Source organism: Homo sapiens, chromosome 9 (assembly GCF_000001405.40).
Source record: "Homo sapiens chromosome 9, GRCh38.p14 Primary Assembly".
Lineage (NCBI taxonomy): Eukaryota > Metazoa > Chordata > Mammalia > Primates > Hominidae > Homo > Homo sapiens.
This window is the reverse complement of record NC_000009.12, coordinates 7,317,866-7,330,002: the sequence shown is the minus strand read 5'-3', so window position 1 is coordinate 7,330,002 and position 12,137 is coordinate 7,317,866. Positions and strand designations below refer to the sequence as shown.

Below are 12,137 nucleotides of genomic sequence, written 5' to 3'. Positions count from 1 at the left end.
AACTATGGTGGTGTCACTGCACTGCAGCCTGGGTGATAGAGCAAGACCCTGTCTCAAAATAATAAAAATAAAAATAATAATAAAAGTTTTCACTTATTGAGCATTTATTATACGCCATGCACATTGCTACACTCTTTATCTACTTTAGCACATTTAAACCTCACAATAACATTGAGATAAGTATTCCCATTTAAGAAATTAGGAGAGAAATTAGAGCGCTCACATTTAACCTGCTTTTAAATTCCCCAAGCTATAATCAAGGCTATAGCTTGCCCTGGGTGCTGTTACTGAGAGATGCTCCTGCAAATGTCAATAACCAGCTATGGCATTACATACTGGAAAACTAATAAAGTATCCCTGAGCCCTGTCCTATCAACAGATGCCAGATGAGTGAAACCTGAAGTAATGTCGTCTATCAAGCATCTTAGGTCCTCTTTTTCTTATGGGCTGATGGAAGCTCATTCACACTTTTGGTTTTACTTTTTAACTGTCAATTATACTCGTTCTGGGTGTCTAAAAATGACTTCATTAAGGGAAGGCTGTTCAAATATTTCTAAAATCAAATGAAACATAAGACCAAGTATCATTTCAAATGAAAATCATTCTTAATTCTTTACCCCCTCAATTGATTTCACGACGAGAATAGAAGATATTTTTCTGACAGCAGAAAACCCAAGAGGTCTTTGATTCCTCATTTTCACAGAATAAAGCATGTAAACAAAAATCATCTTTTAAGTGCTTTATTTGATGTGCCTTTTAAATAGAATTATCAAGTTGGGTTCTCTACGGATTGGCTCAAAATTAACTGCACCTCATTTTCCTTCACTAGGGACCAAAAAATGTGAAAAATATCCACTAGCAACACCCCCACCCTGTCATAGGACAACTTGCTAGTGAAGATGAGAAGAGGCTTTTAAACACAGCAAGATACTAAGTAGTGAATTCTTTCATTTTACAAATCTATTCTCTAGGTAAAAATATTTGCTACGAGAGAAAGCTACACTTGTCATTTCTAGTAAATTCCACCTTTTGGCTCCTTCCCTCTGTTGCTTTTTCCTTTTCTCCCTCTTTATCATCTTCTAAAACCAGAGGACCTACTTGTCCCTTCACTTATTTCTTAAGTCTAAAACCCTTGCACTCACTCTCTGTCAATAGATACAACTCTACTACACATGCCCTCAGTACAGTGACTTTGACAGGTGAGGCCTAGATACAGGCCTCCCATTGGATTACTTATCTATTGCTGCACAGAAAATCATTCTGAAACTCAGTGGCTGCCAGCAGACAAGTCTCCATTCAATGCCTTGTGTGTGTTGTGAGCAGAGACACTGACAGCTTTTGGCCCAGACTCTTTTCCAGAATATTTACACAGCAAACAATGTTGGAAGATAGAGATAGTGTATCCCTTTGGGACAGAGGCCAGATTTGTTTGCCATCCAGTATCATAAAGTTAATGTCTCCTGCCAGGACAATGTTTGAGCAGATTTTCTTGAAGTACTTTTATAGAAGATTGGGATTTCCTAAGATGAGGGTCTTCAGTTGTGAGGCAAACCCACTGTGTGTATAGCATCCACCTGTGCCCACCCTCACATCACCCTTTTAGGGTTTAGGGTTTAGGGGCAAGAGAAACCAATGTAAACATGAGCTCATGCTGACTGCTGTGCTGTAAATAATACAAGTCTTTTTTCTCTGACTCAGGAGTCATGACTTCTACTGATATTCATAAAACTGTCTTGAGTAGAAAACAAAAATTTGTTAGTGTGCAAGGAGGGTAAAATCTCAGATCCTTCTCAGTTTTTGACAGGATTTCAAACAATAAACACTTACTTTCCCACTGTTTCTGAGAGTCAGGAATCTGGAATTGACTTACCCAGGTGGCTCTGGTTCAGGGTCTCTCATTAGTTTCCTGTGAAACTGTCAGCTGGGGCTGCAGTCATCTGAAGATCTGATTGGGCTGGAAGACCCACTTCCATGAAGACTTTTTCACATGGCTGTTGCATGAAGGCCTCAGTTTCTCACCATGTGGGCTTCTCCACAGAGCTGTTGGAGGGTCCTCAAGACATGGCAGCAGGCTTCCCTTAAAGCAAGTGATCCAAGAGAGATGTGGTCAAAATAGAAGATGCAGCATCTTTTTGTAATCTTAAAAATGACATACCATCACTTCTCCCATATTCTGTTGGTTACACAAACCACAGCACACTGTGGAGGAGAACTACTCAAGTGTGTGCATATCATGAGGCTGGGGTCTTTGGGGCCATCCTGGAGGCTGTCTACCACACCCATGTTGTTGGGTAAGCACCACACTAATCCACAAGAAATTTAGTTGGCTTTACCAGATGCTTTAGCACTAGGAGAGGGTAGAACTGATGTAAGAATGGCTAATAAGAAAGAGTGAACAAGGTCATGAAATTTAGAAGTGATTCCCAAAGAGATTATTTCAGCAAGGATATAAACCTTTGGAAGAGCCTAGCAAAGAGAGGACCAATTTAGTATGTTTTCCCTATGAAGGGCAATGGAACAAAGGGATTTGCTTCGATTTTCTTTCTAAGACAGTTGACATCCTCAATTCAGTCTCAAGGAAAATAAAGACTCACCCATTGCCACCTATTCTCCCTTCTTTCTTCCTGAGGAAAGCAGCTCCTCCCACAACAGCTCTCCCATTTTCTCATTTGACCTCCCTATAAAGGTGGGAGCATTTTTCTCATTTTGCATAAGGGTTTGCCAATGCCACCCAACATGCACATTACTGTGCTGTATCCAAGTGGACACTTTTACTATTTCTGATTCCAGAAGAAGCATGTCTAACAATGGAAAACATGTACACTGAGGACATCTGAAAAGGAAGACGGAGGGTAACAAAATGGAAAGGGTGTGTGTCTGTGTGTGCACATGTGAAAGGAGGTTCTACTAGGAGTCAGGGAAGAATTAGCAATACACAATGCAATTCTAATTCACATTTCTCTTGTTCTATACTATGGAGGAGGACAGGGCAGGAAAAGAAATGTGAGGAAAATTTGACTTAATGCTGACTGCAACTTGCAAGCAATAACACATAATATGGAAATGTTTGCCTGGAAAAAAAACACAGAAATATTGTGCATGTGTAGCATGTTGTGTGTGATAAGGGAGGGCTCTGGGGACTTTCAAAAATAAAATGCAATGGTCTTCATTTTAGCAATCAAATGTTTTTGAGCATCTTCCATAAGCCAGACTCTGTGCTAATTCCATTCACATTGAATTTTCATTCAGGACAGCCTTGTGAGGCAGGCATGATCATCCCATTTGACAGGTGAGAAAGGAAAATGTGGCTTAGAGAGAATGTGACTTGCCCTACGTGACAGTTAGTGACAGACACAATATTCAGAAGTACATGCTCTTGTACATCTCACTAGCTCTTTGACAAAACAGGGATGTCTGTTACTTGAAATGGTGAAGAAGAGAGATGCCCAAATCTGAAATCTTTATTGAGACCACAAGTATTTCTATAACTGGGAGAGAATGAAATACACAAAAGAAGTAACAGTGAAGATAATTATACATTTTCCTAAAAGAGGGCCGAATGCACATCCGTTTACATAATCTTTGTCTTCAGCAAACTGTTCCATAGGGTTTCCTCCTCTAACAGTTCAGTGCCTTTGAGTCCTTGAAAGAGGGCTGGTAACAAGCCAAACATGAATGAAGAAAAGGAAGCTCCAAACCCCCACAAAAAGACCCAAGACACCTTGGCCAGAATCCTACTTCATAGGTTCTTCCCTGGAGTGTGCCCAGCTCTGGATGTTGGCCAAGCACATTCATCTGGATGGGGCTTGCTGTCAGGAAATACATTAGAGGACTCCACTCTGACATCTAAACAGTCTTGTGGAACTTTCGCCAGCATTCTTACCTCTGTGGGTATACCAAGTAATTGCCAAGAAAAATGCTAGTAATGGCAATGAACTTCCCACAAGTGAGCCTTCAATTTAATTTTTACAGTCACAGTGATAAGGAAGAGACTCTGGAACATTGATCTAGACAGGGATGTAAGATGCCCGGCTCCATATTTTGCAAACCATCTGTGGCCAATGGGAGTCTACTACTTTCTCTCAGTCTCCCCAGAGTCCTTCTTGGATGTTCAGAGACCACTTGCTTTCAGAGGCACATTAAACATGGCTCACAAGGAAGATCCATAGCCATGAGTGGAAAGACATCTCTCATCTGAGCGATAATATTTTAATTGTTACCAAAGATAAATGACCTGGCTCAGAAATAGCCAAGTACACATGTAGTTGAGGGTGAGAATGAAGTAGTATCATGCATGATGCTGTTCTTGTGAAAATCATTAGAAGACTCTAAAATTATTTTCTTTGAGACTTTTCTCCAATGGAGGAAATTAAATGAGGAATCCTAATTCTTAAAATACCATGCAAAGCCTACAATGCATGGTGCTTTGGTGTCTGGCTGGTGAGATTTCACACACACAATAGATTGTCTCCTTGGGGGGAGCATGGTATACTGGAAAGAGCATGAACTGTGAGGTTGGACAGCCCTGGATTTGCATCTTAGCTCCATATTAATAAACTTTGTGGCCTGGGAAATTTATATAAAGTCTCTGAGACTGTTTCCTTCTTAATACAACTAGAATGATAATTCCTACTTCCTATAGGCTTTGGTAATACCTACCCATGAGAGAGCATAGGTAAACTATCTAATACAGAATCTTGTATATGCTGGGTCCTCTATAAACCATAGCAATGAATTCCCTCCATTCATTTTCCAAGTCCCTAAGTGCAAAACCTTGGGGTACACATTCAAGAAAAAGTCTTTAAGATTTTGAAACCACAGGTAAACTAAGTCTGCAAAGAATCACATCTTTCAAATGGAATTAGATAAGTCATAGGGTATTTAACAGGGTGCTGGTCTTAAAGAGAATAGAAGATTTAATTTGGTTTAGTTCCTTTGGCATTTGCAGGTGAAAACCACCACAAATTAATTAGCACGTCTTCATTTGCTTGAGGATGATTAATAATACTCAGGGAAAGAGGTTTTACATAATTTATCAGTCTGACACAGCCCAACACCTCTAAAGTTCCAAGAACTTCCAATTCCAGCTGGTCTGTGACACTTAAAAACTAGCTGCAAAATGGCACCTCTCTTGTAGACAGTACATTTGCTGTTGTTCTGAAGTGAGGGGAGGGAAATACAATTACAAACTTCCAGGCTACTTTCTTTCTAGTTTGGGAAAATGGTACAAACAAACCCTTTCTACATAAAACAGCTATGACTTGATCACAAGTAATTCACTCATTTCACCCAATAGGTTGATCACCTATTAGGTACAGGTACCTAGATGCTACTTTTTCTTCTCTCCACCAAAAATCTTTGTGGGCTCCCAGCTAGCAGGGCTGACTCTTTTGATGCAAGCAGCACCTGTGTGAGGTAAGTCTTTCGGTATTGTCGAAAATGTCCTTGCCCCAAACACTCAGTGGACTACAATGCACTGAAAAAGATATGAAGTGAGGCAGTTTGTGAGCATGACTCATCAACAGACAACAGGAAACCAAAAGCAAATTTTATTAGTATTTCTGAATCCAAATTGGAATGCTGCTGGCAAAAATATCTTCGTTAACTATGGATGGCCCCAAAAGTGAATGAGAAGGAGGAATCCCAAGAGCAACAACTGTCTTGAAATATTTGGAAGAAGATGTGTGGGGAAAAATGTGAAATTTAAAACAGAAAATAACATTTGTCTTCCTAGGCCTGTGTAGAGCCTGAATTAAACCAGCTGACATAATCAGAGGCCAGATGGGCTAACTGTCTGAATTTAAGAGAGAAGCCTTCCACCCTGTGTGAAAAGTTCAACAAAATGAACTATATAACCTCTAAGATTCATTCCCAATCTAAGACTCTAGGAATCTGACTAGAGCTCAAAACAAAGAAGTAATTCCATTTCTTCCTTGAAACCTATCTTCAGATTGACTGTCTCCACCCTCAATTCCAGTTATTCACCTGGCATTATAAAGCTCAATATTTACAACAACTGCCACTTGGAATTCTTTCAGGATGCCAACTCAGATGGGTTTCCTAACCAAGATCATCCAATGCTATCTCAGTTGAGACTTTCTCTCTCTCTCTCTTTTCTTTTTTTTTTTTTTTTTTTGAGACAGGGTCTTGCTCTGTCACTTGGGCTGGAGTACAGTGGTGCAATCATGGCTCTCTACAGCCTTGAAGTCATGGGGTCCAGCGATCCTCCCACCTCAGCCTCCTGAGTAGTTGAGACTACAGGCGTGTGCCACCATACCTGGCTAATTTTTTTACTTTTTGTAGCGACAAGGTCCCATTATGTTAGCCAGGCTGATCTTGAACTCCTGGGCTCAAGTGATCCTCCTATCTCAGCCTCCCAAAGTACTGGGATTACAGGCATGAGCCACCACACCCAGCCTGAGACTCTCTTATTGTAATATTATAAACCAACTTAATCTGCCTTTAATCTAAGGGAGAATTAAATGGAAGCACATTGAACTTCTCATGGTTTTCAAGCATAGAAAAGTATAGTAAAGGGGCAGAAACTGAGGCCTGGGCCATCTAGGAAAGTGAGTTTAACTAGGTAGTGGCCTTTCTGCGTCTGTCATCTTGGTCTTTCCAAGAATCAGCCTTATTTTTATTTATTTATTTGCTTGTTCTTTCTGTAGACTCAGTTTCTCTAATTCCATGTCTACATGGCAAGAAATATGACTCCCAAATTTGCATCATGTCAGATTCGGCATCAGTCAAGGGCATCTCATTGGCCCAGAATGAATCAGGTGCCTACCTCTCGTCACATCACCTCTGGCCAAGGGGTGGGATGAGGTACTACAAACATGGCTGCTGAGGGCCCATCCCAGTGGAAGATGCAAAATGGCATGGAAAAGAAAGGTGGTCCTCAAGAAAGGAAACACCGGGAGCTGCAAAAAAAAATTCCTAACAGAAGTTCACTACAAGTATATTCCACTAAAACAGTAAAATATTGCAAGGTCTTACTTATTTTTTTCTTCAATCTGGTAAATAGTGAAGGTTGCTGTGGCTTCTATTTGTATCATATCTAAAGTAACTATGTCAATTTTACAGGTACATCGATTTCTTATACTTTAAAGTGACACTTGAAGCATGATTTAAAATTTCAAGTTACAAATAATCAATATTTGCCCTGAGGGAATCCTCAGGCTGTTTTAAAAACCAGAATTCTATAATCCTCTGGTGTCTTAGAGCTCTAGGAAAAACAAGTTACCCTCTTAAAGAAGCGCCTATGGTTTTTCTTCTCCTATAAAGAAGAACTTCGCTTAATGACCCCATGTTACTGGATGGGGTAGGCTCCTCCAAGGGGAATGGAAGTAGTTATTTTTTATTTCCAAAGACATTCAGAAAAATGCTCCATATATAGTTTTCTGCTGTCTGACTTACAGAAAATGTGGCTCTATTCACACTAAATGTTGATCTCAATATCTTTTAGGTGGCTAAAGGCTTTGTGGGGTAGAGGAGAGTATAGATAACAGTTGACAACATCAACCTAACCAAAAAAAATTAAAACAAAACAAAACACCACTTTTCCATCAAATGAACAATTTGCTTTCAAATGGGTAAAAGATGTACAGAAACTCCATCAAATGGCAAATAACGCAAAGACACTCAACCTCAACAGTCATTACAGAAATGCATATTAAAACAATGATGATATACCAATAAACATCTATAATAATGATTAAATTAAAATCGATAATATTAAGTGCTGTCAAGAATGTGGAGTACTGAAAATCTCATCCATTTTTGGTGAAAATTTAAAAATGTAAACTTACTTTGGAAAACAGTGCAGCAGTTTCTTAGAAGGTGAAGCATGTACTTACCACACAGCTTGGCCTCCTACTTGTTATTGACCCAAGTGAAATGAAAACTATGGTCACTTGAAAACCTGTACAGAGGTGACTTTACATATAATTGCCAAAAACTGGAAACAATCCAAACATCTCCCTAATAAGAATTGAATAAACAAACTTTAGTGCATCTATAGAATACTTAGCAGCAAAAAAGAAACAAAATGGCTGATACATACAACAACATAGATGAATGTCAAATGCAATATGTTAAGTGAAAGCAGCCAGACCCAAAAGGCTACATATGATTCCATTTATAGGACATTCTGGAAAAGGCAAAACCACAGACACAGAAAACAGATCAGTGGTTTTCAGTGACTGAGAAATTGAATACAAAGGGACACACACATTTGGAGGGTGAGGATGGGACTGTTGTATATTTTGGTTGGGTGTTACTTCTATGACTGTACACGTTTATCAAAACTCACAGAACTGTACACTAGGGTAGGTTTAACAGTATTAAATTATATCTTAACAAAAAGGTAAAAAAGTAAGATTTTTGCTCTGAAACTTTGGACTATTTTTAAAGGAAAATCTCCAAAGTGAACAACAGTGAGTTAAATAGGAATTAATACTCAATATGCTTTAGCTGTTGATAAGCGTGTACATTGTGGCCCTTTCAACTGTTTTAAACTCAAAAGACCAAGACACCCGCATAAATGCCACCTTCATGCATTTATGAAGTAAAAAACGAAAACCCTTCCTTTGACTTGAATGTGTTCACCTCTACAGCCTTCTTTTTGAGACAAGCGCTCTTTTATCTTGATGGGTTTACCACCTAAATGGAGAGAGGCCATGCATTTCTTACTGGCAATGTCAAAACTGAAGGTTCTCTTCTCAATGTTAAACTCCTCACTTAACAAGAGGGAAAACCTGCCTCTTATTTTCTCTGCCAGATAACTTTTCCCCAACCTGCACTTGAATTCAACTGTCTAAAGTCCAAACAGCTGAAGATGATGCAGGGCTATTCCAATCCACATTGTTCTGCACCACCTCCGGAAGGAATCATTACCCAGCTACTGTAGAGAGAGAGGTCCAGCCCATCAGCCATCTTCTGGATGACATATATGTGCTCTATTAATATCACAAGATGCTTCCCCTCAGCATTCACCTCTTAAGAGTGCATTTTAATCCCGATAAATATTCACAGCTGACACCTTCCATATGCCACGTAGGCTAAAATGGAACGAACGAGTGCTTCAGAGATGATGTTTGAAAATGATGCACTGCGTAGGAGCTCCTACAAATTTCCGCTTTATTGCAGGAACCAGAGGTTAGCATTAAGAAGACTGCCATTTGCTTCTCCAATTTGTAATGCTATTAATTATTCTTGCTTTTTAATCTGCTCTACACTTAGTAGCATCACAAAGCTACAATACAGGGATTTGGTAAGTGAAGACTTCAGATAAACCCACACTCTCTAGAAGTACTGGTTTTAATTCCATCAAAGAAGGCAGAGCTCAGAAACTAGACTCTGCACCTCTCAGCAGTACATGTTTAAATTGGTGTGGAGTGGGAATGGAGTACAAAGTTGGGATGGGGGAAACAAAGACCAAAGTTCATGATGTAAATGTCACTGAAAAAAAAAGTAACTGTGAATGTCCTGGAAGTTTGGCAAGACTTTCCATCTGGGTCCCTCTGGCTGTGCTAAACTACCACAACCCTAATCGAATTTAAGTGCCAGCCTACCACCAGCCACAGCATGTCAGATCTGACGTCAGAATCCTACTGTCCTCTGACCTACAGGGATGCTGTGAGCAGTAATTAATGTCCGTTAAGTGGCGAGTCATCCTTACTCAGCTGCGTTCTGTCAAGTCCTAAGCAGACAGCTGCAGAACCCATGACTCAGAGCACCTCATCAGACCATTTCTGCTCTGAGGAAAAGAGGTGACCTCAACTCCAGTGGTCCACAGTGCAAAGGCCACGACACTGAAGGGCCTCTTGCCACTGTAAATGGTGTCTCCAAGATGGATATACGCCCTGGTTAGAGGTGCCAGGACTGGGCAAGCTGGGCAGAAATGGTTGTTGCTTGATAGAAGGCTTCAGAGTTCAGAACAATTAAATAAACGTAGACAGGTCTGAAGGATAGAAATATTGCCAGAACATTCTTAATGCAAGTCAGAGAGTGAGTGACGATCTACAGTGACTTTCTCCTGCTTTCCAAAGAGCCAACCCTATTCCCCTATGCTGAGACTCTGAATTCATGCGGCCCTGACTAGGACTATTGAATATTAAAAGAGCTAAAATACTCTGAAGGAGAAACTGCCATTTGTTAACTTCTGCATAGTGCCAAGTTCTTTAATTACATCCATAGCATAGCACCTGACACATGATAGGTGCCAAAAAATCCAACGCTTAAATAACACTTGTCGAATAAATGGGGTGAATGAATTCCCATTAAATTTTGCAATAATTCCAAGTAACAATTTACACGTGGGGAAACTAAGGCCCATAGACATCACAGAACTCCTCATAGTCGCAAAGCTATTAACGTTGGAAGAGCTTAAATTGAAATGGGTTTTTCTGACTCTAAAATTCACACTAATTCCTACCTCTGGTAATTTATTCTGTTAATGCTGACATTACCCTAAATGATGTCACCTGCTGTTAAGAGACCAGGAGTTAGCCTCCTCACCCAGATTGTTTGGGTCAAAATGTCCACAGCATCCTCTTCCCAGCATCCTCTTCTATCAATGATTGGTCATAGAATTTCCTTCACATGTAATTATATGTTGATGAGAGAGGAATAACACCCCACAGTTCTTGTTTAGGGGCACTTATTCCACCCTCTGTAGATCTACATAGATTCTGTTTATATGTCCCTGTCTATGGAAGTTAGTAAGAGACAAAAAAAAACTTTATGGTTTCTTTCTCCTCCCTTCTTTCATACCTCCCCTCAAAAGAGTTACCAGCGATTGCAGAGCCCAATCCGTCAAGCCACACACTGGTGTGGGGAAGAAACAAAAGTGAGGTATCATCTCCATTTCCTCTGTCTACACTGCCCCCTGCATGCTGCAGTAAGGATTTCCAGGGTTCCTTCTTGGTTTTCTAGAAGTGGCAAGCTCACTATCTGGTGCATGAAAGTCCTCCACAGCCTTTCTACCTTCCCTGCAGCTCTTGACACTGCCAGCAGCAGACATTGGGAGGAGAGCAGTGGTTCTCCCTGCATCAACTGTAGGAACAGATCAGTCTGCTCAGCAGAGCCAGCTCACCCACAAGTGGAAGCATTTCTCCAGATTCCACCTTAGCAGTAGGTCCCCATTGCATTCTCTGACCTGCCTTTACCCTGGCCTTTGGCAACTAAGGGGCCCCCATTAATAAAGCTAATATTTTGATCTGGCTTTCTAGAGCATACCTAAGCCTGAGGGCCAAAGGTTAGGGGTTAGAGGCAGGTGCTCATCAATCACTACTCTTCCTTCCAAGATTCTGATAAGTTGACATTGCGCATGAGTCCCTTGATACCAGCTTTAAAGGCTGAGAACCCAGACTGTGATATTTTCCTCATCTCTCTTAAAATATGATTATGCAAATTTTCTTTTTTTTTTCCTCTCTGCATTGCCTCTTTTTCTTGGAGGGTGGATAGATCCTGTTTTTTGTTTTGGTTCCTTTACTATATACTGGAAGAGTTCTTCAAATATCTTGTATTTCTTGCTTGGTCATTTAGATTTAGAAACAAATTATTAAAAGTTGATTGGATATACTGTGTATGTATATTAGACTTGTCAATTTGTGATTCTTAATACTGGGTGAACATCTTAAAAACTGGCTCTTTTATTTGGTATAACCCCAATTTCTTCCAGAGAAGAATTATCCAATCCACTGCTGGATCTACTCTTATGCCTATACATAAGATTTCTACAAGCTCTGTAAGAAAGGGCAGGCGGGGGTGAGAGGGTAATGGTGTTCTATTCAATGTGTATATTTTTATTAAATCTTTCCCATTTTCAGCTTTGTGTTTTATCGCTAACACCCTGCCTCTCTGTACCTCATGGCCAGTGCGGTGATGGCCTGGCTGGGTGAGGGGAGAAGAGTACTGGGAAGTCTGCAGGCACTCTGCTCTCAGACTCAATGCCCCTGGTTTCAACTCTGCACTTCATCCCTCCCTCCAGGTCCTGGGACGTTCTGGAGTTCTGCAGCACTGACTGAAGCTCCCCCCATCTGAGGACACTCAGGTTGTTACTGTCCCTACCTTGTTCAGTCAGCCACCCTCTCCACATTCCATCTTCCTAAAATATATAGAAAGTTTTCATTAGC

The 12,137-nt window shown here is 40.4% G+C and overlaps 1 long non-coding RNA gene across 2 annotated transcripts in view, besides 1 other annotated feature; it reads right to left on the bottom strand.

Annotated features, from left to right (window-relative positions):
• The window catches only part of LOC105375970 (uncharacterized), a 42,693-nt gene that overhangs the window by 17,258 nt on the left and 13,298 nt on the right, over window positions 1-12,137 (bottom strand). For both annotated transcript variants that reach the window (XR_007061414.1, XR_929460.3), the window contains exon 2: window positions 1,871-2,077. This is a non-coding gene — a long non-coding RNA (uncharacterized LOC105375970). The remainder of the gene's footprint in view (window positions 1-1,870; window positions 2,078-12,137) is intronic.
• Window positions 9,043-10,242: an enhancer, noted in NCBI's record as "P300/CBP strongly-dependent group 1 enhancer chr9:7319761-7320960 (GRCh37/hg19 assembly coordinates)". NCBI's record gives its function as "activates an origin of replication core promoter dependent on BRD2, BRD4, P300/CBP, MED14 and CDK7 cofactors, with strong dependence on P300/CBP, by STARR-seq in HCT116 cells {active_cell/tissue: HCT116}" and the evidence as "EXISTENCE:reporter gene assay evidence [ECO:0000049][PMID:35650434]".